This window comes from Homo sapiens, chromosome 9 (genome assembly GCF_000001405.40).
Source record: "Homo sapiens chromosome 9, GRCh38.p14 Primary Assembly".
Classification (NCBI taxonomy): domain Eukaryota; kingdom Metazoa; phylum Chordata; class Mammalia; order Primates; family Hominidae; genus Homo; species Homo sapiens.
In genome coordinates, this window is record NC_000009.12 from 33319178 (window position 1) to 33345776 (window position 26599).

Genomic DNA, 26599 nt, shown 5'->3' on the forward strand with positions numbered 1-26599 from the left:
GCAGCAGTGAGTGTTTAAGCAATGTAGAAGTAAGTGCTAGTTACAATATCAGAGGTTTCTAAATATTATGATCATATTTATGTAGGTACGTTTTCTTTCCTCCTCAACATATACTTGTGAAAACCCATACATTTGCCCAAATGATCTCTCTGATTCAGGTATTTTATTGTTAACTCTGGACAACTGTGGTGAGTTACTGTTCCATAGGGGTTATGATTTCTCTTAGGAGCCTGTACTGTAATGAACACTATATGTATTTATACCAATCCAGGGTTCAGCAAGTGTTGAAAACCCTTTTCACATAATAGGAACATGCTAAAATAATTGTGGGTGAGACAGAGTCTGGTTTGGAGACAGAGTCTCGCTCTGTCGCCCCAGCTCGAGTGCAGTGGTAGGATCTCAGCTCACTGCAGCCTCTGACTCCTGGGCTCAAATGATTCTTGTGTCTCAGCCTCCCAAGTAGCTGGGACTACAGGCGCACACCACCACGCCCGGCTAATTTTTGTATTTTTAATAGAGACGGGGTTTCACCATGTTGACCAGGCTGGTCTCGAACTCCTGGCACCAAGTGATCCACCCGCCTTGGGTTCCCAAAGTGCTGGGATTACAGGTGTAAGCCACTGTACCTGGCCAAAGAACTAAAATTGTAAGTACAATAGAACCTCAGCCATTTAGATCATTCAAGGAATGTCAGCCTCTGTAGCTAAGTTTCCCATCTAGCTGAGGATACGAGGATAGCACCTATTGAACATCATTTTGGATGAATATTTTTCTTTTCTTTTCTTTTCTTTTTTTTTTTTTTGAGACAGAGTCTCGCTCTGTTGCCCAGGCTAGAGTGCAGTGGCGTGATTTTGGCTCACTGCAACCTCTACCTCCTGGGTTCAAGCAATTCTCCTGCCTTGGCCTCCCGAGTAGCTGGGATTACAGGCACCTGCAATCATGCCCAGCTAATTTTTTTTTGTATTTTTGTAGAGACGGGGTTTCACCATGTTGGCCAAGCTGGTCTTGAACTCCTGACCTTGGGTGATCTGCCCGCCTTGGCCTCCCAAAGTGCTGGGATTATAGGTGTGAGCCACCATGCCCGGCTGGATGAATATTTTTCTAAAATTTACATTTCATGTTTAAACAGAGTTTACTGAAGGTGTTGTAATTTTTCTCTCATTGACCCAGAGTCATCATTTTTATGAACTCCAGTTACTGTATTACACTGAATGCAGTGGTGCCCTTGGCCTGCTGAGGTTTCTCAGACTGATGCCCCATACCAATGAGCAGTTTGAATTGTTGTATCTGCTTGTTGAAGCTTTTTGTTGTTTATATTCTTATCAGTGCTTTTAGTATGCTTGCCTGTCTACTTTTAGTAATTCCCCCTTTCTTCTGATTTGTGGCTTCTGATTACTTGAATATAGAAACCAGAAAAAGCTCATTGGAATTAGATACAAAGTAATACTATACTGAGCCTATCTGACTCAGTCTTTTGGGAATGTATGTCTGCAGTTTTGCAATGACTTGGCAACTTCTCTCCTGAGTGGGTGTTGAAAGGCCATGCATTTAGAAAAAAATGGAAAGTAGGCAACTGAGATTGAATAGGAAAATTATTTCTAAAACTAACCATGTATCTTGTGAGGTAAAGCTAGAATCTTTAGGTTTGGTTTCCATTTCATCAAAAGGAGAGAGTTCACATTTCTTTCAAGTGCCAGCGTGAATCAGTGGGAACACCCTACTTAATCCTTTTTCTCAATCTGACCTTAAAATTGTGTATAGAGGAGAAGTGCTGTCTTCTTGTATTTTAATATACATTCCAGCTGCATTAGGAAAGCCAGTCATCTGTTGGTTCTCTGCTTGCCATGAAAATGTGTTTATGATATGGAGATCAAATGACTAGTAAATCAAATCCCCTTTCGGAAAGCACATGAGTCAGTTTTATAAGAATTTCACATATAATGACCAGAAATCCTACCCTGGCACTCATGTATCCTGTTGGTGATGAGAGAAGAAGGAAATGTGAAATGGGTAATGCAAAGGGACTTGAGCAAGAGAAGGGTAGTAACTGGCAGTAACAGACCTTGGGATGGGACAAGACCAGGTTAAGGGATAAGAGGGTACCTGCTATACCTCAGCAGGTATCATGGAAAACCTTTAAGGAAATAGGCTGAGTTGACTGAGAAGCTCAGAGACAAGCGTGTGGCTAGCGATAACAATGACTGTCAGGTTTGTTCAGACCTAGCTTATCTATAGAAAGCTCGCTTAGGTCTTTTGTATCTCACTCAGTAGGAAATTTCCATCCCAGAGACACAGCTTCAGTATAAGAGACTGGATAGAGTTCTACTTTAAAGATGGTAGCATGAAGAGCTCCCATAGATCTGCTTCCCAGTAAAGCAAACAAAGCTAGGGAAAACTATAAAAAAGCAACCATCAAGGCTGGGCATGGTGGCTCATACCTATAATCTCAGCACTTTGGGAGGCCAAGGTGGGAGAACTGCTTGAGTCCAGGACTTTGAGACCAGCCTGGGCAACATGGCAAGACCCTGTATGTACCAAAAAACATTTTTTATTTACCTGGGTATGGCGGCACGTGCCTGTGGTCCCAGCTACTTGGGAGGCTGAGGCAAAAGGATCATTTGACCCTGGGATGTTGAGGCTGCAGTGAGCCATGAATGCAGCACTGCACTCCAGCTAGGCTGACAGAGTGAGACCCTGTCTCAAAAAAAAAAAAAAAAATCAACCATTTAAAGTTTCTGGAGGCTGGGTGCAGTGGTTCACATCTGTAATCCCCCACACTTTGGGATGCTGAGGTGGGCAGATCACTTGAGGTCAGGAGTTCAGGACTAGCCTGGCCAACATGATGAAACCCCGTCTCTACTAAAAATACAAAAATTAGCCAGGCATGGTGGCACATGCCTGCAATCCCAGCTACTCGGGAGGCTGAGGCAGGGGAATTGCTTGAACCTGGGGGGCAGTAGTTGCAGTGAACTCAGATCATGCCACTGCACTCCAGCCTAGGTGACAGAGTGAGACTCCATCTCGAAAAAAAAAAAAAAAAGTCTCTAGAAATTGCCCTAAGAGCATACCTCAAATGAAGACATATTTATTCAACAAAATCTTCTAAAACTCTGGTAAACAACAGCAAGAGTCTGTGGCATTGAGCCCTAGCTAGTTCCTTCCTCCTCCCCTCAGCTCAGCTTGACAGATCTCCACTCAGGATAAGTGTGGACAAGAAGATGGGGCTTCTTCTCCCCTCAGCTCCCAGTCAGGTTTACCATATCTCACTGGGAAGGCCACATTGTCAACATTTCTCTACCCCTCCAACTCCAAGTTGAAGAGGCTGAAATTCTGGTGAGTGCAGCTGAGCAGTTAGGGCTCCCTTTCTCCACCAAGCTCCCACTTACAGAATGGAGGCTTCATCCCATTTGCAGCAGAATACTGGAGCCCTAATCGTCCTCACCCCAGCTCACTCGTAGGGCAGAGGTTCCACTGAGAGAAGCAAGCCAAGAAGGCAAGAGGCTACTATCCCACCCAGCACCCAGAGTAGTGCCTCAGAGACCTTTCCCAGGGCGAGAGACAGTTCATAACAAAAGAGAGCTCCGAGGTACTCTCCAAAGGAACTGACTTTATTTGAAACAGTGTGGGGAAGTACAGGCCTAAGGACACTTTAGAAAATGATAACATACCTTAAAGAACAGTAACTAAACTGTAGGCCATCTAGTTCATCAGAGAGAATCAGGGAAAGGTAGCTAAGAGGAGCCCTCTTCAGGTCAGAACAAATCTCAAAGACTTACAGCAAAGACTATTCCTTCCCAAATTTAATTGGATCAGACTGCTGAGCAATTGATGCCCTGGAACATTGTCAAAAACAATAGAACTGCAATTAATGGATCCTTGAGACTGAGCGTAATCCAAATAAGGCACACAGTTTAACAGAGAGATCGGGAATCAAGACAAAGAGAGCCCTGCTTGAAACGACTGTCATTCCAGGGTCAGTTTGTACCCCTAAGGTTGTGCCATCCAAAGAGTGACACCAGCGGCTACATACTGTAGGGAAAATAGACTTCACTGAAATAGTCTAGCCAAGTCACAAAACAAATAAATAAGCAACCACAACAAAAACAAGCTGTGGAGAGGGGAAGCAGTATCCAGAGTTGCTATATAGCTAAAATGTCTAGTTTCCAAGAAAAAGTATGAAATGTGCAAAGAAACAGGGAAAAAAACAGGCAACAGAAACTGCCTTGTGAGAGTGACCAGATGTCAGATTTCACAAAGACTGTAGGATAATCATAATAAATATGTTCAAAGAACTGGGCCAGGCATGGTGGCTCACGCCTGTAATCCCAGCACTTTGGGAGGCTGAGGCAGGAGGATCACGAGGTCAGGAGTTCAAGACCAGCCTGGCCGACATGGTGAAACCCCATCTCTACTAAAAATACAAAAATTAGCTGGGCATGTTGGTATGCGCCTGTGGTCCCAGCTGCTCCGGCGGCTGAGGCAGGAGAATCCCTTGAACCCAGGAGGCAGAGGTTGCAGTGAGCCGCGATTGCGCCACTGCACTACAGCCTGGGCAACAGAGCAAGACTTCATCTCAAAAAAAAAAACAAACAAAAAAAAACAAATAAATAAATATCTTCAAAGAATTGAAGGGAAACCATACTTAAAGAGGTAAAGAAAGATGTGAAGATGATGTCTTATCAAATAGAGAATATTGATAAAGAGATAGAAACTAGTTTTAAAAGAGGCCCAAATGGAAATTCTGAAGTTTAAAAGTAGGATAACCGAAATGCAAAATTCATTAGGCTGGGTACCGTGGCTTATGCCTGAATCTCAGTGCTTTGAGAGATGGAGGCAGGAGAATTGCTTAAGCCCAGGAGTTCAAGACCAGCCTGAGCACGTAGTGAGACCCTATCTCTACAAAAAATTTTAAAAACTTAGGCCAGGCACAGTGGCTCATGCCTGTAATCCCAGCACTTTGGGAGGCTGAGGCAGGCAGATCACTTGGGATCAGGAGTTTGAGATCAGCCTGGCCAACATGGTGAAATCTCGTCTCTACTAAAAATATAAAAATTAGCTGGGTGTGGCGGCACACGCCTGTAATCCTGGCTATTTGGAAGGCTAAGGCAGGAGAATCGCTTGAACCCAGTAGGCGGAGGTTGCAGTGAGCCGAGATCGCACCACTGTACTCCAGCCTGGACGAGGGAGTAAGACTCCATCTCAAAAAAAATAATAATAATTAAATTTAGCTGGGCATGGTGGCACACACCTGTGATCCCAGCTACTCAGGAGGCTGAGGTGGGAAGATTGCTTGAGTCCAAGAGGTTGAGGTTGCAGCAAGCCATGATCATGCCACTGCGCTTCAGGTGGGCAAGAAAGCAAGACCCTTTCTCAAAGGAAGAAGAAAACTTCATTAAAGGGGCTCAATAGTAGATTTGAGCTGGCAGAAGAAACGATCAGTGAACATGAAAATAGATTGAAAGAGATTTGGTCAGGCACAGTGGCTCATGCCTGTAATCCCAGCATTTTGGGAGGCTGAGGCAGGCGAATCACGAGGTCAGGAGATCGAGACCATCCTGGCTAACATGGTGAAACCCCGTCTCTACTATATACAAAAAAAAAATTAGCCAGGTGTGGTGGCGGGCACCTGTAGTCCCAGCTACTCGGGAGGCTGAGGCAGGAGAATGGTGTGAACCTGGGAGGCGGAGGTTGCAGTGAGCTGAGATTGTGCCACTGCACTCCAGCCTGGGCAACAGAGTGAGATTCCATCTCAAAAAAAAAAAAAAAGAAAGAGATTATATAACCCAACGGACAGAGAGAAAATATAATGAAGAGAAATGAACAAAGCCTCAGAAATGTGGGACACCTTTAACTGTATCAGTGTACATGTAATTGGAATATGAGGAGGAGAGTAGAAAGAAGTGGAAAAATATTTAATGAAATAATAGATAAAAACTTTCAAATGTATTGAAAAACACTACACATCCAGGAAACTCAGTAAACTCCAGGTAGGAAAGAGATCCACATCTAGACATATAATAAAAATGCTAAAAGTTAATGATAAGGAGAAAGTCTTGAAAGCAGCAAGAGAAAAATGACTTATCACATACAAGGGAACCTCTGTAAGCTTAACAGTGGACTTCTCATCAGAAACAATGGAGAACACATCACAACCAGAAGGCAGTAGGATGACATATTCAAAGTGCTGAAAGAAAACTGGCAACTGGCCGGGCGCGGTGGCTCACGCCTGTAATCCCAGCACTTTGAGAGGCCGAGGCGGGTGGATCACGAGGTCAGGATATTGAGACCATCCTGGCTAACACGGTGAAACCCTGTCTCTACTAAAAAATACAAAAAATTAGCCGGGCATGGTGGCGGGCACCTGTAGTCCCAGCTACTCGGGATGCTGAGGCAGGAGAATGGCATGAACCCGGGAGGCGTAGCTTGCAGTGAGCCGAGATTGCGCCACTGCACTCCAGCCTGGGCAACAGAGAGAGACTCTGTCTCAAAAAAAGAAAAAGAAAAAAAGAAAACTGTCAACCAAGAATCTTACATCTCATGAAACTAACTTTAGAAAATGAAGATAAAAACAAAATTTATTGCTAGCAGGCAGACTTGCCTTACAGTAAGTACTAAAAGAAATTCTTCAGGCTATAAGCAAGTAAACCCAAATAGAATTTCAAATCCACATGAAAAGACAAAGAGCACTAGTAAAGATGATTATGTAATCATAAAAGGCAGTATAAATGCATATTTCTTCTTCTCAACTGATTTAAAAAACAACTGTATAAAATAATATGTATAAAATTATATTTTAGGCCTATAACCTGTAGAAGTATATTTGATAATTATAGCATAAAGGAGATAGATGGGATCAAAGTTGTGTTAGAATAAGAAAATGATACCAGATCACAACTCAAACCTACAGGAACAAATGAGGGAAGCCATAAGTGGTAAATTTTGTATAAGAGGGGGGCTAGGCGCAGTGACTCACACCTGTAATCCCAGCTCTTTGGGAGGCCAAGGTGGGCAGATCACTTGATGTCAGGAGTTTGAGACCAGCCTGACCAACATGGTGAAACTCCGTTTCTACTAAAAATACAAAAATTAGTGTGGTGTGGTGGCATATGCCTGTGATCCCAGCTACTCAGGAGGCTGAGGCACAAAAATTGTTTGAATTCAGGAGGCAGAGGCTGCAGTGAGCCAAGATCATGCCACTGCACTTCAGCCTGGGCAACAGAGCAAGCCTCTGTCTTTAAAAAAAAAAAAAAAAAAAAAAAAGCTGGGCACTGTAGCTCTCACCTGTAATCCCAGCTACTCAGGAGGCTGAGGTGGAAGGATCACTTGAGGCTAGGAGTTCAAGGCCAGCCTGGGCAACGTAGTGAGATTTAATCCCTCAAAGAAATTTGTAAAATTACCCAGACATGGTGGTATGTGCCTGTAGTCCCACCTACTCAAGAGGCTAAAGTGGGGGATCACTTGAGGCCAAGAGTTCAAGACTGCAGTCAGCTATGATCATGCCACTGCATTCCAGCCTGAGTGACAAGAGTGGGACCCTGTCTCCAAAAATTAATAAAGCTATAAATATATATATTTGTTATCTTTTTCAGCTTCTTTAATAGATATAACATTATATAAAGTTCTAACAAAGTAGTATTGGGTTTATAACATATAGATGTGATATGTATAACAATAACTGCACAAAAGGGGAGAAGAATAGAGCTGTGTAAGGGTAAACCTTCTGTATCTTACTGGAGTTAGTATAAATCTGAAGTAGATTCTGATAAGATGTATATGGTAAGCCCTAGAGGGACCATTAAGAAAATAACTCAAAACATTTAGTGAAAAATATAATTAAGGGAATTACACTATAAAAAATATTGACAAAATGCAAATGAAAATAGGAAAGGAGTATTAGAATAACAAAAAAGACATGAGACTTACAGAAAACTAAAAAAGACGAACATAAATCCAGCTATAACAGTAACATTAAATGTGAATGGATTGAGCAAAAGCAGATATTTTTGAGTTTTGATTTATTTATTTTTTATAGAGGTGGAATCTCACTCTATTTCCTGGGCTGATCCCGAACTCCTAGGCTCAAGCAGTCCTCCCACCTTGGCTTCTCAAAGTGCTGGGATTACAGGCATGAGCCACTGCACCCAGCCAAAAGCAGAAATTTTTTAGACTGGATTTAAAAAACAAGATCCAACTATATGCTCTCTTGAGATGGAGTCTTGCTCTGTTGCCCAGGCTGGAGTGCAGTGGCATGATCTTGGCTCACTGCAACCTCCGCCTCCCAGGTTCAAGCGATTCTCCTGCCTCAGCCTCCTGAGTCGCTGGGATTACAGGTGGGCGCCACCACGCCTGGCTAATTTTTTTGTATTTTTAGTAGAGACAGGGTTTCACCATGTTGGTCAGGCTGGTCTCAAACTCCTGACCTCATGATCTGCCCACCTCGGTCTCCCAAAGTGCTGGGATTACAGGCGTGAGCCACCGCACCAGGCCATGGAGACAATCTTTATAGTCAAAGATACAATGAGGCTGAAAGTTAAAGAATAGAAAAAGTACACCATGTAAACAGTAGCCATAAGAGACCCCAGGTGATCCCCATAGGGTCCTGGAAACAGGACTTGTCCTAAACCTAGTTTAGCAGCATGGATGCAGGCACCACCAGACATTCACAGAGCTCTAGTCAGTCAGACTGTGGATCATGGCTTCTGATTATTTATAATCCCCAGATGACTTTCAGAGTCGACAGCATTCCACTAAAGTCATCCATGGCTACAGTTTTAGGGAGATTCAAGTCTACACTGGAGATGTGGGGCCTGAGGAAAAAGAAGATTTATTCTGTGTTTTTGTTATTTGTTTTGAAACAGGGTCTTGCTCTGTCACCTAGACTGGAGTTCAGTGGTGCGATCACAGTTCACTGTAGCCTCAACGTCCCATGCTCAGGAGATTTTCCCACCTCAGACTCCTGAGTAGCTGGGACTGTAGGCCTGCATCACCACTCCTGGCTAATTTCTTGTTTTTGTGCTTTTTTTTTTTTTGGTAGACACAGGGTTTCACCATGTTCCCAGGTGATCTCGAGCTCCTGGGGTCAAGCGATCCTCCCACCTCAGCCTCTCAAAGTGCTGGAATTATAGGCATGAGCCACCACACTTGGCCTTTTTTTGACTTAGGCAAATCGTCGTATACTTTAAAGCATATTCCAGTGTCTAAGCTGGGCCCTGAAGTTGTCAGAAAAGGCCCAGTCTGCCAGATGAAGGGAAGATAGGGAAGAAGCATTGACTGCATACTTCCCTCAACTCTGATTCTGGAGTTGCAGGGCATGGAGGGGAAGACCAGTGTGGCTAGCAAATTTGGGAGTATGAAAATGAGTAGTTGCAGTTTTCATTTCCAGCTCTTTTCGTTTTTATTAAAGATTTCATTCATACCTGTGAAAAGCTCTGCCATGAAGGAGACTGTGGACCATGCTCTCGCACATCAGTTATTTCCTGCAGATGCTCTTTCAGAACAAAGGTAAATCCTAAACAATGCTAGAGTTGTTGCCATCAATGTTTTCTTTAAAATGGTGATTATGGGAGGGGAGGAATCAAAATAACCTCAGTAGATTAGGTATGGGAAGTGGTTGTGGCACTCAAGGTCCAGAGGCCTATAGTGGGATAAGGCAAATATACAGATCACTCTACCAAATACAGGTGTGATAGTCTGAAAAGGGGAACAGTAGCACTGTTGCAAGGAGTCAGCCAACTAAGAAGTTAGAGGAAACACAGTCCATATGACCACCCACTTGTGGCACCAACTTTTGATACCAATTGAAAGTTCAGTGGTCCCTAAGACCACCTGCGAGGCTTGATAATTTGATAAAAGGACTCACCGAACTTGCTGGTGGTTACACTCATGGTTAGAGCTTTACTACAAGGAGGTTACAGTTTTATTACAAGGAAAAGGATACAGATTAAATCAGCCAAGGGAAGAAGTATGTAGGACAGAGTCCAAAAAAATACCAAAGGTGGAACTTCATTTGTCCTTTCCCTGTGGAGTCAGGAAAGTATTACTCTCTCCGCTTCAGTGTGTGCCAGCATACATGGAATATTGCCAACCAGGAAAGTTCACCCAGACCTGTGTGTTCAGTTTTTATTGGTGCTCTATTGTGCAATCATAGTTGACTGCCCATGTGGCTAATCTCAGTCTCCAGTCTCTCCCGAGGTGTACCGATACCATGTGACCCAAAACCCCTGCCCTAAAACTATCCAGTGTGGCCAGCCTGCTCCTAAATCACGTAATTGGACTATCCAGTGACTCAAGACTCCAGGCAAACAATGACACTTATATCAGGCATGGCATTCCACTAGGCTTAGAGATTACCTCTCAGAAGCCAAGCACAAAGGCCAGACTCTCTTTAAGTAAGGTTTAATTCTTCACTGTACATCTGTTTTGTCAGTTTCTACTTTCTGGTGAAAGCCTGGATGGTTTTTATTTTTCTTTTTTTTTTTTTAATTTTATTTATTTATTTTGAGACAGAGTCTCACTCCATCACCCAGGATGGAGTGCAGAGGCGCAGTCTTGGCTCACTGCAGCCTCCACCTCCCAGATTCAAGTGATTCTTATGCCTTAGCCTCTGGAGTAGCTGGAATTACAGGTGCATGCCATCACACCCGGCTAATTTTTGTATTTTTAGTAGAGACGGGATTTTGCCATGTTGGCCAGGCTGGTCTCAAACTCCTGACCTCAAGTGATCCTCCTGCCTCAGCCTCCCAAAGTGCTGGGATTACAGGTGTGCACCACCACTCCTGGCTAATTTTTGTATTTTTAGTAGAGGTGGGGTTTCACCATGTTGGCCAGGCTGGTCTTGAACTCCTGACCTCAGGTAATCTACCCGCCTCAGCCTCCCAAAATGCTGGGATTACAGACGTGAGCCACTGTGCCCAGCCTACCTTGGATAGTTTTCATCAGACTTTATGTTATAAAAAGTCTTCGGGTGATTCAGCTTGGGGAACACACTGAGTGTTGATTTATCCTGCTCTTTGACCTACTTAGTCATTTTAGTGTATATCAACATTTGTCCCAGTAGAGTACAAGCCAGGGTGGAGACAGAATTGTGAACCGTTGGTTCTGTTAAACACAATGCAGGGTCTGGCAGCATCTGACTTGCGAATAATTCTGAGGATATAGTCCATAAATGGGAAGCTAGTTTAATAGGAAAACTTCAGAAAAAAGGGAAAAGTAGTATAATTTACATGTTACAAAAGTTGTGTAATCATATATGGGTTTTTTCCTGAAAGAAATTACAATATACATAGGATAACAGAGGCATTTTTGAATGTCAGGTATGGGACCACTTTTGTACTTTGTAAATACTGTATTAAAGACTGAGATGCTGTGATTTGGCAATCATAAATTTAGTAATGCCCAGAGATGCTCTTTGTGATCTGTGTGACTGAAAATTGTAAGCAGGGTTGGGACATGTAAGCTGGAAGTGGCTGCTGTCAGTTTTCTTCATTCTCCCACAATCCCTCTTTCTATCTCTACGTTTTCTTGCTTCTCATTGACTCTTTGTCCTCACTCCCTCTAATAGTGGACTCCATGGCAGTGAGTGTATTCTTGAAAAGCTATGTGTAAGTTGAATTTTTGCAAGTAGAAGTCCTTAAATTGCAGGAGGAGCTCACTGTCAATACAAACTCTGTTAAACCTGTTTGACAAAGTAAAAAAAAAACTCTTCAAAAAGCTGATAATTGGCTGGGTGTGGTGGCTCACGCCTGTAATCCCAGCACTTTGGGAGGCTGAGGTGGGCGGATCATGAGGTCAGGAGATTGAGACCATGGTGAAACCCCGTCTCTACTAAAAATACAAAAAATTAGCCAGGCACGGTGGTGGGCGCCTGTAGTCCCAGCTACTCGGGAGGCTGAGGCAGGAGAATGGTGTGAACCCAGGAAGTGGAGCTTGCAGTGAACCGAGATTGCACCACTGCGCTCCAGCCAGGGCAACAGAGCAAGACTGTCTCAAAAAAAAAATAAAAAAAATAAGCTGATAATTATCACCTCATTGTTTAACTAGATTTTTCATGAATATGGATTTTTCATGACATGGTTTTGGTAATGGAATGGGCTTTTCCACAGAAGTGAGTTTTCTAGATAAATAAAACATTTCTTAAAACTTCAAAGGTTGTTTTCATTTCATCACTTTGGTGGGATTCTGATAAATGTATGCTGTGTCTATGTCTTCATAAAGCATGCTATATTTAAGTCTTTATGGTAATTCATGTGCAGGAATTTATGGGAGTTCTGCCTTTCCTGACAATTGTAGATAACCACTCCTGCATATCATTTCTTCCATATAATCCAGTGTTCACTGATGGGAGCATTAACTCAGTTTCATGAGTCACTTTTGCTTTATATCTGTAGAGAGCATATAGGGAACTTTTTCATATCATCAATCCCAGACACCTCATTTTTTATCTGAAATGTATATTTTCCAGCCAAGAACCTTTTATTGCTTAGACTTCTTCACATCTGTTATCAACTTCAGTAGCTGCTTTTTTTTTTTTTTTCAGGATAATTTTTACGAAGAGGGGACTTTTAAAGTCATTTTTCTCATTTCTGAGTACATGGCAACCTGTAAATGACATCAAAGCCAAAATCAGATGTAGAAGCCGGGCAGCTAGCCAGACTCATTCTACCCCAAGTGACTGACTTCCTTCCCACACACCATCATCACTACACACGATTTTTAGGATCATGCCTTAGCAAAATTACGTGATAGACCTTTTAGACCACTCACATGTAGTGGAAACCAAACTTTAGAGGCCAAACCAAAGATCCTGCTTTATTTCACTTTGCTGTAGTTTTGTGATATTATCAGGTGTGCTCTGAAGTGTGTAGAGCCGTTTGTCCCTGCATTAAATGGTACAGATTGTCATCTGTTTTCAATTCTTATATCTGCTTTTTATGGCTTTTTCTGTCTGTACCCTTGTTTGGTGATGACTTCTCTTTCCTTTGCATGCCTTTAGCAGCCCTCTTTCTATTTAGATTTTGTAATTATTAGTCTACTGTGAATTTGGAGACCAGACCACAAAAATTGTTAGAATTGTATTTTCATGAAAAGTCTGTAAGCCTGGAGTCCTCTTGTGAGTAAAGCTCATTCATATAGGGATTAGGCTCGCTCCAGACATGGCAAGTGAAGTTGGTGAATAAGTGACTATCAGAGAAGTATGGGATATTTGGGATATTCTTGTTACCTATGGCATTATATTATAGTTGTATTATTTTAGTTATTCCTAAAGTAGTTACCATTTCTTTTTCTTTTTCCATAGGAGCTTCCATGTACCAGTCTCAAAAGTGAAGGTATGACTGGGGTGGGGCATGAGGGAATTTCTGGGGTGAAAGTGTCGTCACTCTGAATCTTGTTAGGGAGTTGGGTTATGTATTTGTCAAAATTCAGTGAAGGCATACTTAAGATTTGTGGTATAACTTTCACCTCAAAAGGAAAAAAATATAAATTGAATTCTAATTGATGAAATGCTGAAAAATATAAGCTAAGTGCACTCATGTCTACAGCTTGCTTTGAAATGCATTAAAAAAGAAAATTAGTGGGTAGGTAGAAGAATGGATATGTATATGAAAAAATATGTTAATGGTAGAATCTAGATATGGGCATATGGATGTTCACTGTAAAATACTTTGAACTTTTTTTCTTTTTCCTTTTGAGACGGAGTCTCGCTCTGTTTCGCAGGCCAGAGTGCAGTGGCGCGATCTCGGCTCACTGCAACCTCCACCTCCCAGGTTCAAGTGATTCCCCTGCCTCAGCCTCCCAAGTAGCTGGGATTACAGGTGTCCACCACTACACCTGGCTGATTTTTGTATTTTTGGTAGAGACGGGGTTTCACTGTGTTGGCCAGGCTGGTCTCTAACTCCTGACCTCAAGTGATCCACCCGCCTCGGCCTCCCAAAGTGTTGGGATTACAGGCATGAGTCACCACACCGGCCTCGATTCCTGTTTTTATAACCGACACATACTGTTGTTGAAGCCATTTTAAAACCTTTTTGGAAAAGTGATGGAAGATAAGGATATGCAAAATAAAAGGTCTTACTGTAGTCAGAAAGAAAGCTGTATTGGTTAGGAAGCTTCTGGATGCAGGTAACAAAACCCAAGAAAAAGTGACTTTTACGATAAGGGTGTTTACTGCCACACCTGATAGGATATCTGGAGGCAGAACAAGTCCGAGATTGGTTAATTTTAGCTCAGTGATTTTGAAGACTTCAATTTGGCTTCTCTGTGGTTTTCTTGATTTTCTCCTCGTGGGTATGTTAGCTGCTGCAGCTTCACACATTGGGTCTCTGCCCAACAACATCTAAACAAAATCCATGAAGAGAGTGTTGTTGTTCTCTTCCTATGTAAGAGCAAGGAAAACAGTCCTGAAAGGTTCTCAGTACACTGTGTCCAATTCTTCTGCCTAAACCTGTAACTAGCAAAGTGAATGGAATTACCATGGTGGGTAAAGGTACACAACATCCACCCCTGGAACTGAGGAGCACACTGGCTCCCAGTTTCTGAACAAAATTAAGGCTGTCTTTGCCTGAAAGAGAAGAGTGGCCGTTTGGGAGGTACCCAGCAATATCTGCCTCAAAACCGTATTTAAACTTTTGGTTCAGTGTGCCATCTGTATCAAGGAAAAAAAGTTTGGTTATTAAAAACATAATTTGGGTCCAAGCCTGGTGGCTCATGCCTGTAATCCCAGCACTTTGGGAGGCCAAGGTGGGCGGATCACCTGAGGTCAGGAGTTCAAGGCCAGCCTAGCCAACATGGTGAAACCCCATCTCTACTAAAAATACAAAAATTAGCCAAGTACAGTGGCGCACCCCTGTAATCCCAGCTACTCAGGAGGCTGAGGCAGGAGAATCACTTGAACTCAGGAGACAGAGGTTGCAGTGAACTGAGATCACACCATTGCTCTCCAGCCTGGGCGACAGAGTGAGACTCCGTATCAAAAAAGAAACAAGAAAAACATAATTTGGGCCAGATGCAGTGGCTCACATCTGTAATCCTTATGCTTTGGGAGGCCAGGGCTGGGGGATCACTTAAAGCCAGGAGTTCAAGACCAGCCTGGGCAACATAGTGAGGCACTGTCTTTGCAAAAGAATTTTTAAAGTTAGCCAGGCATAGTGGCATGTGCCCATAGTCCTAGATACTCGGGAGGCTGAGGCAGAGGATTGCTTGAGTCCAGGAGTTTGAGGTTGCAGTGAGCTGTGATTGTGCCATTGCACTCTATCCTGGTGACAGAGCGAGACCCTATCTCTAAAACAATAAAACAAAATAATAAAAACATAATTTGAAAAAATACAAAATTAATACACTTATGAAGTTTAAAAAAAAATATGAAGTGAAAGATGAAAATTTGCCCTCTAATAGTAGTTTGTTAGTTAGGGTTTCAGATCTTTTTCCCTATTCATACAGATGTATAAACATGCCAGCATAGTTTTGTTTTTCCCTAGATTTAGGCTTATACTAAAGATACTGTCTGCAGCTTATTTTCCCTCACTAATATCTCAAAGACGTATTTCCATGTCAGTATGCATAACTCTTGTTCTTGCAGAGTATTCCATATGTGGATCTGCCTTGTCATAGTTCACCATGACCCTTTTGGTGGTCATTTAGGTTGTCTCCAGTTTTTCCCCATTATTAATAAGCAGGAACCGTCCTGTCCCACTTTTTATAACTTTATGATGCAAAATTTCAACCATACGTGAAAGTGGAGAAACTGGTATAATGAATCCCCACGTACCTATGACCTGTCATCATCAGTTGTCAACATTTTACCTCTCGTTTTCATCCATCCCTCCTTCCCTACATTTTATTTATGCTGAAGTACTTTGAAAACAAATCTCAAATATCATTTCACCCATAAATACTTCAGTGGTTAGCCCACTTTTTTTTTAGTTGAAATTCACATAACATAATTAACCATTTTAAATGTACAGTTCAGTGGCACTTAGTTCTTTCACAATCTAGTTCCAAAATATTTTCTCTGTCTTACATTTTTTCTTCTTCTCTATTTTATCTTTCTTTTTCTTTTTTTTTTTTTTTTTTTTGAGACGGAGTTTTGCTCTTGTTGCCCAGGCTGGAGTGCAGTGGCGCAATCTCAGCTTACTGCAACCTCCACCTCCTGGGCTCAAGCAATTCTCCTGTCTTAGCCTCCTGAGTAGCTGGAATTACAGGCACCCACCACCATGCCTGGCTAATTTTTTTGTATTTTTAGTAGAGACGGGGTTTCACCATGTTGCCCAGGCTGGTCTCGAACTCCTGGCCTCATGTAATCCGCCTGCCTCAGCCTCCCAAAGTGCTGGGATTACAGTCATGAGCCACCGTGCCCAACCTTTTTTTAAATTTTATTTTAAAAATATGTTGAGACAGGGTCTCACTTTGTTGACCAGGCTGGTCTTGAATGCTTGGTCTCAAGTGATCCTCCCATGTTGGCCTCCCAAAGTGCTGGGGAAAAACATTTTCGTCACCCTGAAAGGAAGCCCTGTATTAATTAAGCATTTACTCCCCACTCAGTCCTCCCCCAGGTAACCACTGATCTGCTTTCTATCTGTATGGATTTACTATTTTCGAATACTTCATCTAAATGGAGTCACAATATATATTCTTTTGTGCCCTGCTTCTTTCACTTAGCATGTTTTCTAAGTTTATCATACTGTAGTATATATCAGCACTTCATTCCTTTTTATGATTGAATAATAATTCATTTTATGAATATACATTTTATCCATTCACTGGTTGATGGATATTAGAATTGTTTCTACTTTTTGGCTATTGTGAATAGTGCTGTTATGAACATTTGTATACAAGTTTTTGTTCCAATACCTATTTTCATTTCTTTGGGGTATATACCTAGGAGTAGAATTGCTGGATCCAATGGTAATCTTGTGTTTAATTTTTTTGAAAAACTGCCATTCTGTTTTCCACAGTGGCTACACCATTTTATATTCCTACCATCAGTGTATGAGGGTTTCATTTTCTCCACATCCTTGCCAATACTTGTTATTTTCTGGGTTTTTTTGGTTTTTGTTTTTTTGAGATGGAGTCCCACTCTGTTGCCCAGGCTGGAGTGCTGTGGCGCTATCTCAGCTCACTGCAAACTCCACCTCCCAGGTTCGAGTGATTCACCTGCCTCAGCCTCCCGAGTAGCTGGGATTACAGGTGCCCGCCACCGCGCCCGGCTAATTTTTGTATTTTTAGTAGAGATGGGGTTTTACCATGTTGGTCAGGCTGGTCTCGAACTCCTGACCTCGTGATCCGCCTGCCTCAGCCTCTCAAAGTGCTGGGATTACAGGCGTGAGCCACCGCACCGACCATTTTTGGGGCTTTTTAAATCATAGCCATCCTAGTGAAGTGATATATCACTACCACATGATGTGATGTCTCTGATATCTCAATGTTAGGTTTTAAAATCTATTTATTGTTTAAGACAGGGTCTCTGTCACCTTGACTGGAGTGCAGTGGCAGACCACAGCTCACTGCAGCCTTGATCTCCTGGGCTCCAGTGGTCCTCCCACACAAGCCTCCCAAATAGCTGGGACCACAGGCATGTGCCACCATGCCCTTTGCTTAATTAACTTTTAATTAAGTTTTAAAAACTTAATTTTTAAAAGTTTTTCCAGGGCTGGGCGCAGTAGCTCACGCCTGTAATCCCAGCACTTTGGGAGGCCAAGGCAGGCGGATCACTTGAGGTCAGGAGTTCAAGACTAGCCTGGCCAACAAGGTGAAACCCCGTCTCTACTAAAAATACAAAAAATTAGCCGGCATGGTGGCAGGCACCTGTAATCCCAGCTACTCGGGAGGCTGAGGCAAGAGAATCGCTTGAACCCAGGAGGCGGAGGTTGCAGTGAGCAAATTTTTGTAGAGACAGGGTCTCATTATGTTGGCCAGGCTGGTCTCAAATTCCTGGGCTCGAGCAATCCTCCTGCCCTAGCCACACTTAAATTTTCGATAGAAACACACTCAGCCAGCCTTCCATATCCATGGGTTCCATATCCATGGATTCAACCAACCACAGATTGAAAATATTCAAAGAAACAAATTACATCTGTACTGAACATGTACAAAATTTTTTCTCATCATTTTCTAATAGCATTTACATTATATTTGGTGTTATAAGTAATCTAGAGAAGATTTGAAGTATAAGGGAGGGTGTGCATAGGTTATATGCAAATATTATACCATTTTGTATAAGAGACTTCAATATCTGTGGATTTTGATATCCAAGGGAGGTCCTGGAATCAGTCCCCCATGGACTCCAAAAGTTTGTACACCCATCTACTAAGATGAGCATGGCTTCTCCTCCACACCTTAAACACTACCGTTGCTATTTTTTTTATTTTTTGAGTTTTAAAGGTGAAAATTGATATTTTAATATGCATTTTCAGCTGGGCAGAGTGGCTTACACCTGTAATCCCAACATTTGGAAGGCCAAGATGGGAGGCTCATTTGAGTGCAGGAATTCGAGGTTACAGTGAGCTATGTTAATGCTACTGCACTCCAGCCTGGGTGACAGAAAGAGACCCTGTCTCTTTAAAACAAAACAAAACAAAACAAAACAAAAACTGATGGCCGGGCATGGTGGTTCACACCTGTAATCCCAGCACTTTGGGAGGTCAAAGCAGGTGAATCACCTGAGGTCAGGTGTTCAAGACCAGCCTGGCCAACATGGCGAAACCCTGTCTCTACTAAAAATACAAAAATTAGCCGGGCGTGGTGGCGCACACCTGTAATCCCAGCTACTCGGGAGGCTGAGGCAGGAGAATCGCTTGAACCTGGGAGGTGGAGGTTGCAGTGAGCCAAGATTGCGCCATTGCACTCCAGCCTGGGCAGCAGAGTGAGACCCTGTCTCAGAAAAAAAAAAAGAAAGCAAAAAGGCCAGGCGTGTTGGCTCACACCTGTAATCTCAGCACTTTGGGAGGCCATGGGAGGTGGATCACCTGAGATCAGGAGTTAAAGACCAGTTTGGACAACATGGTGAAACCCTGCCTCTACTAAAAATACAAAAATTAGCTGGGTGTGGTGGCAGGCACCTGTAAGCCCAGCTACTTGGGAGGCTGAGGCATGAGAATCACTTGAACCTGAGAGGTGGATGTTGCAGTGAGCCGAGATCACACCACTGCACTCCAGCCTGGGCGACAGAGAAAGACTCCATCTCAAAAAACAAAACAAAACAAAAAAAACTGCATTTACATTATTACAATTGTATTATTACTATTGTATTCTTTGAGCCTATAGTTACTCAAATATTTGTTGTATGAATGTTCATATCCTTTGTCTGGTTTTTTTTTTCTTTTTAATTTGCCACAGCAGATGCTACATTTATGTGTGACAAGCGGTGTAACAAGAAACGGTTGTGTGGACGGCATAAATGTAATGAGATATGCTGTGTGGTAAGTGGACTTATTAGGCATAATCAGATTCCATTCATCCAGGTGCTGGGCTTCTGGAAGCCTGAGCCATGTGGAGAATGCAGCCCGGATTTAAAAGTCACTGGGACAGGCCCCTAAGCAGCAGTCAGAGAGCTCTCATAGTCCCCATAACCTCTCTGCAAAGAGACAGACTGGGCCTTTTTAGCCTCACCCAGGTTAAGAAGTCAGCCAGTGGCATCTGGTAGCAACACAGAGGAAGAGAAAGAGATAAGAGAAGGTCTCACACCCCAGAGCCCAAGACCCCTAGATGAGCACACAGTCTTCGGCAGAAGATTGTGTGTTGTCCCAACACAAACTGGCCTGGACTTAGCAACTTGGGCTTCAGGTTTCATGTACTGCTTAGGTCAGGTCAGTAGGAAAAATTATTAGGACATTTTTTAAAAAGATTTTTTAAAATAAAATATTTATTTAAAATATTTGCTTTTATGGAACTAATTAAATCACTAGCTGGCTATTTGTACTCTGTTATCTCATATACTCTTTTATATATAAAAAATATAACGTATGCTATATATGACATAACATGTATATATAAATGTGTATGTATGTATTAGTCCATTTTCACACTGTCAGTAAAGACATACCCAAGACTAGGGAAGTTACAAAAGAAAGAGGATTAATGGATCTACAGTTCCAAGTCGGTGGGGAGGCCTCACAATCATGGTGGAAGGCAAGGAAGAGCAAGTCACTTCTCACATGGATAGCAGCAGGCAGAGAAAGAGAGTTTGTCCAGGAAATGGCCTTAGAAAGCCATCAGATCTCATGAGACTTATTCACTATCACGAGAACAGCACAAGAAAGACCTGCCCCCACGATTCAATTACCTCCCACCAGGTCCCTCCCACAACATGTGGGAAGTCAAGATGAGATTTGGGTGGGGACACAGCCAAACTATATCATTCTGCCCCTGGCCCCTCCCAAATTTCATGTCCTCACATTTCAAAACCAATCATGCCTTTCCAACTGTCCCCCAAAGTCTTAACTCATTTCAGCATTAACGCAAAAGTCTACAGTCCAAAGTCTCATCCAAGACAAGGCAAGTCGCTTTGCCTATGAGCCTGTAAATTCAAAAGCAAATTAGTTACTTCCTAGGTCCAATGGGAGTACAGGCATTGGGTATATACAGCCATTCCAAATGGGAGAAATTGGCCAAAACAAAGGGGCTACAGGCCCCATGCAAGTCCGAAATTCAGTGGGGCAGTCAAATCTTAAAGCTACAAAATGCTCTCCTTTGACTCCATGTCTCACATCTAGGTAACACTGATGCAGGAAGTGGGTTCCCATGGTCTTGGACAGCTCCGCCCATGTGGCTTTGCAGTGTGCAGCCCCCCTCCCAGCTGCTTTCACAGGCTGTCATTGAGTGTCTGTGGCTTTTCCAGGCACACAGTGCAAGCTGTCAGTGGATCTCCCATTCTGGGGTCTGGAGGACAGTGGCCTTCTTCTCACAGCTCCACTAGGTGGTGCCCTAGTAGGGACTCCGTGTGGGGGCTGCAACCCCACATTTCCCTTCTGTACTGCCCTAGCAGAGGTTCTCCATGAGAGCCCCACCCCTGCAGCAAACTTCTGCCTGGACATCCAGGCATTTCCATACATCTTTTGAAACCTAGGCAGACGTTTCCAACCTCAGTTATTGATTTCTGTGCACCCGCAGGCTCAGCACCACATGGAAGCTGCCAAGGTTTGGTGCCTGCACTCTGAAGCCTTGGCCCAAGCTCTGTGTTGGCCCCTTTCAGCTACAGCTGGAGTGGCTGGGATGCAGGGCACCAAGTCCCGAGGCTGCATGCAGCAGGGGGACCCTGGGGCCAGCCCACAAAACCATTTTTTCCTCCTGAGCCTCCAGGCCTGTCATGGAAGGGGCTGCCATGAAGACCTCTGATGTGCTCTGGAGACATTTTCCCCATTGTCTTGGGGTTTTACATTTGGCTCCTTGTCACTTATGCAAATTTCTGCAGCCAGCTTGATTTTCTTCTCAGAAAATAGGATTTTCTTTTCTCTCACATTGTCAGGCTGCAAATTTTCCAAACTTTTATGCTCTGTTTCCCTTTTAAAACTGAGTGCCTTTAACAGCACCCAAGTCACCTCTTGAATGCTTCGCTACTTAGAAATTTCTTCCACCAGATACCCTTAATCATCTTTCTCAAGTTCAAAGTTCCACAGATCTCTAGGGCAGGGGCAAAATGTTGCCACTCTCTTTGATAAACAACAAGAGTCACCTTTGCTCCAGTTCCCAACAAATTCCTCATCTCTATCTGAGACCACCTCAGCCTGGACATTATTGTCCATATCATTATCAGCATTTTGGGCAAAGCCATTCAGCAAGTCTCTAGGAAGTTCCAAACTTTCCCACATTCTCCTGTCCTCTTCTGAGCCCTCCAGACTGTTCCAACATCTGCCTGTTACCCAGTTCCAAAGTCACTTCCACATTTTCGGGTATCTTTTCAGCAGTGCCCCACTCTGCTGGTACCAGTTTACTGTATTAGTCTGTTTTCACACTGCTGATAGAGACATATCCAAGACTGGGCAAGTTACAAAAGAAAGAGTTTTAATGGACTTACAGTTCCAAGTGGCTGGGGAGGCCTCACAATCATGGTGGGAGGCAAGGAGGAGCAAGTCACATTTTAACATGGATGGCAGCAGGCAGAGGGAGAGAGCTTGTGCAGGGAAACTCGGCCTTATAAAGCCATTAGATCTCATGAGACTTATTCACTATCATGAGAACAGCACGGGAAAGACCTCCCCCACCATGATTTAGTTAACTCCTACCAGGTCCTTCCTACAACATGTGGGAATTCAAGATAAGATTTGGGTGGAGACACAGCCAAACTGTATCAGTGTATATATATATACATAAACAAGGTAACACAGTACCAATAGCAAGGTAGTACGTGTGTATGTATGTATATAGCATACATAATTATTTTTTAAATTTATATATTTAAGTGAAGAGTGATGAATTGTGCAAGTATTATAAACTAGTGTTAGAAGGCTTAAAGACTTCCTCTTATTATAAAAAAATTTGCAGCCAGGCATTGTGGCTCACACCTGTAATTCCACTTTTTGAGGCCGAGGTGGGTGGATCTTGCTTGATCCAAGGAATTCAAGGCCAGCCTTGGCAACATGGTAAAACCCCATCTCTGCCAAAAATACAAAAATTAGCCAGTTTCATAACCCGGTCTCTAAATAAATAGATTTAAATGTAAAAATAAGGCTGGATGCGGTGGCTCATGCCTGTAATCCCAGCACTTTGGGAGGCAAAGGCAGGCAGATCACTTGAGGTCAGGAGTTCCAGACCAGCCTGGCCAACATGGTGAACCCTGTCTCTACTAGAAATACAAAACTTACCTGGACATTGTTGTGGGCACCTGTAATCCCAGCTACTCAGGAGGCTGAGGTAGGAGAATTGCTTGAACCCAGGAGGTGGAGGTTGCAGTGAGCCAAGATCGCACCACCACACTCCAGCCTGGGCAACAGAGTGAGACCCTGTCTCTGTCTCTCTCTCTCACACACACACACACACACACACGATGTAAAAATAAAATATATTTTTTTAAAATTTCAAACTGGCTCATGCCTGTAACCCCCCAGCACTTTGGGAGGCCAAGGTGGGCGGATCATGAGGTCAGGAGATTGAGACCATCCTGGCTAACACGGTGAAACCTCGTCTCTACTAAAAATACAAAAAAATTAGCCAGGCATGGTGGTGGATGCCTGTAGTCCCAGCTACTCAGGAGGCTGAGGCAGGAGAACGGTGTGAACCTGGGAGGCGGAACTTGCAGTGAGCCAAGATTGCTCCACTGCACTCCAGCCTGGGCGACAGAGCGAGACTCCATCTCAAAAAATATATATGTATGTATCAAATATATGCAGAAGCAGAGAGACTACTAGTATAGAGAGTCCCATATACACAACATCCAGTTTCAGTATTGATCACCTCATGACGAATTTTGTTTTATCTTCATCCCCACCTACTCTCCCTTCTGTGGCTATTTTGAAGGTATTTCCAGATATCATTTTATCCATAAATGTGTAGAGCTTTGTTTTTATTAATCTTGTTGTTATTTATGGAAAATATAAAATGAAGACCATTTTATGAACAAATATAAATCTCTTTTCCCAGGATAAGGAGCACAAGTGTCCTTTGATTTGTGGGAGGAAACTCCGTTGTGGCCTTCATAGGTGTGAAGAACCTTGTCATCGTGGAAACTGCCAGACATGCTGGCAAGCCAGTGAGTGTCTTTACTGTATAGTTTATTAGAAGAGTTTTTTAGAAATTCAGACATAATATACTTTGAGAGATTGATTTACTTAGAATTGTATGGATTCTTGAACTAAGCCTTCGTATTTCCAATATGTTGAGACTTTTTTTAAAGTTACTTCTAATGCTGTGTTGTAGTCCCTGAATGTGCAAAACTTGGGATATGAACAGTGATCCTGAGATGGGGCCTAGTTCGTTAATAGATTCCTTCTCTGCTACATGCCTCATATGTGTTATTGACCTAGGTTCTGTCCTCAACAATCTTCTTTCTCTATATTATTAGCAGCAGTTTGCAAACTTTTTGGTTGTAGGGCTCATTTACATTACCAAAAACTATCCTAAAGAGTCATTTTTATGTGAATTGTATTTATCTTTATCTACCATATTAGAAATTAAAACTGAGAAATTTAAAAAATAATTGATTAGTATATTTAAGAATAATAATATACCTCATTGCATGTAATCACAAAAATTTTTTTAAATAACTTTTCAAAAAAGTAGAATAGCGGATACTTGGTTTAATAGAAGGTAGCTGGATTCTTGTATCTACTTCTGCATCCAGTCTGTCGTGATATAGTTGAGGCATATGAAAAAAATCCAGCCTTACACAGATAGCCTTACACAGGAGAAGGGAAGAGTATTTTAAAGATGTTTTCAAATAATTATTGATATTCTTTGAAATTACACCAAAATTCAACCTCATTTTAGAAAGGACTTGACTCGGTGTTTTTATTCTCTGTCACAAAAATTTATTGGACTTTCTTGTACTTTGAATGGATCTTTTTACCCGTGCATGATTTTATAATAGCCCACATTGATCATTTGGAAAATAATTCTTCACTGAGTTATGTGATCTTTGAAATGTTGATAAATTTCCTATTATAATATTAAAAACTCAGTCATTAATATAATCTCCAGTCTAGAAATATGTTGGGAAAAGTATTGGGAAGTTGTCAGGGTCATAGTAATAAATGAAACTTCATATCTGTTCATGCCTTTTTCACCAGCTTAGCTTTAATAAAATAAAAGTTTAATAAAATAAAAACCTCTTTTGAAAAAAGTAGCACCCCCATAAATTCTCCTCTAAAAATACAAGCAAAAATGTGTGTGTTTGTGTGTGTTAGTATGTACTTGCACATCCCAAACTCAGAAAGGATTCTTTTGTTTTACCTGCTGCTCCACCAGGTTTTGATGAATTAACCTGCCATTGTGGTGCATCAGTGATTTACCCTCCAGTTCCCTGTGGTACTAGGCCCCCTGAATGTACCCAAACCTGCGCTAGAGTCCATGAGTGTGACCATCCAGGTGAGTACCAACTTGTCTTCACACTTCAGCCTGCTCACACCATGTCATTTAGGATCCTGCTGTGTTACTGTCTTCACTGCTCTAGAGTCATGCTGTGATGGCTGCCCCTTGCTCCCGGCTCAGGGGCTGGTTCTCTGAAGGTGGGTCTGTGATCTGGGCCACAGCTTGGAATCACAGTGCCCTCCATTGGTTTACTCTAGGGATGTCAAACACACCTAAAAACGTTGGAAGACTCCCCAGCTGATCTTATCTCTCAAGAACTTTTCTTTCTTTGTGGTCTCCACTTTGGTGCATGTTTTGAAATTTAGCATCTTTTTACAAAATTAAAAGTGACTTTTTTGTTGTTATAGAAGCAATATATATTTATCGTATTAAAATTAAGAAAATAGAGGCCAGGGCCAGGCGCAGTGGCTCATGCCTGTAATCCCAGCACTTTGGGAGAGCAAGGAGGGGCAGATCATGAGGTCAAAAGATTGAGACCATCCTGCCCAACATGGTGAAACCCCGTCTCTACTAAAAATACAAAAATTAGCTGGGCATGGTGGTGCACGCCTGTAGTCCCAGCTACTCGGGAGGCTGAGGCAGGAGAATCACTTGAACCCGGGAGGCAGAGGTTGCAGTAAGCTGAGATCGCACCACTGCACTCCAGCCTGGCGACAGACCAAGACTCTGTCTCAAAAAAGAAAATAGAGGCCAGGCACAGTGGCTCATGCCTGTAATCCTAGCACTTTGGGAGGCTGAGATGGGCGGGTCACTTGAGGTCAGGAGTTCGAGACCACTCTGGCCAACATGGTGAAACCATGTCTCTACTAAAAATACAAAAGTTAGCCAGGCATTGTGGCGGGCACCTGTAATCTCAGCTACTCAGGAGGCTGAGGCAGGAGAATTGTTTGAATCCGGGAGGCAGAGGTTGCAGTGAGCCAAGATTGTGCCACTGCACTTCAGCCTGGGCAACAGAGTGAGACTCCATCTCAAAAAAAGAAAAGAAAAAGAAAAAGAAAAAAAAGGCCGGGTGCAGTGACTCACACCTGTAATCCCAGCACTTTGGGAAGCTGAGGCAGGTGGATCACCTGAGGTCAGGAGGTTGAGACCAGTCTGGCCAACATGGTAAAACCCTGTCTCTACTAAAAATACAAAACTTAGCCTGGCGTGGTGGTGGACGCCTGTAATCCCAGCTACTTGGGAGGCTGAGGCAAGAGAATCACTTGAACCCGGGAGGCAGAGGTTGCAGTGAGCCGAGACTGTGCCATTGCACTCCAGCCTGGGTGACAGAGTGAGACTCTGTCTCAAAAAAAAAAGAGAGATAAAGTCAAAAGTTTGAAATTAAATAATCTATTATATGTCACCTCCAAAGAATTATACCTTATATGTATTTCTCAGGGTCTTTTGCCATGTGCAAATATATATGTTTGCATTTTTTCCCCAATGTAAAAGTGGGATCCTACTGAACTTAATGCTTTTAACTAGCTTTTTTTCCCACTCTTATTATTATATTTTTGATCTGTCCCCTTGTAAGTATTTTTTTACAATATAAACTTTTAATTTCAATTGAGTGTCCTGTTACATGGATGGGCCATAACTTATTCAG

The 26599-nt window shown here is 42.7% G+C and overlaps 1 protein-coding gene across 6 annotated transcripts in view, besides 1 other annotated feature; it reads left to right on the forward strand.

The window, feature by feature from the left end:
- NFX1 (nuclear transcription factor, X-box binding 1) overlaps positions 1–26599 on the forward strand; it is an 80642-nt gene that overhangs the window by 28662 nt on the left and 25381 nt on the right. For 3 of the 6 annotated variants that reach the window (NM_001318758.2, XM_047423427.1, XM_047423428.1), the window contains exons 10-14: positions 9404–9501; positions 13295–13325; positions 19330–19412; positions 23569–23677; positions 24892–25011. In NM_001318758.2, the coding sequence (NP_001305687.1) occupies positions 9404–9501; positions 13295–13325; positions 19330–19412; positions 23569–23677; positions 24892–25011 (441 nt within the window). The remainder of the gene's footprint in view (positions 1–9403; positions 9502–13294; positions 13326–19329; positions 19413–23568; positions 23678–24891; positions 25012–26599) is intronic. The other 3 variants (NM_002504.6, NM_147134.4, XM_047423429.1) reach the window with 1 other exon arrangement.
- Positions 21260–21460: a silencer, noted in NCBI's record as "peak7217 fragment used in MPRA reporter construct". NCBI's record gives its function as "represses an SCP1 promoter by STARR-seq MPRAs in K562 erythroleukemia cells {active_cell/tissue: K562}" and the evidence as "EXISTENCE:reporter gene assay evidence [ECO:0000049][PMID:32103011]".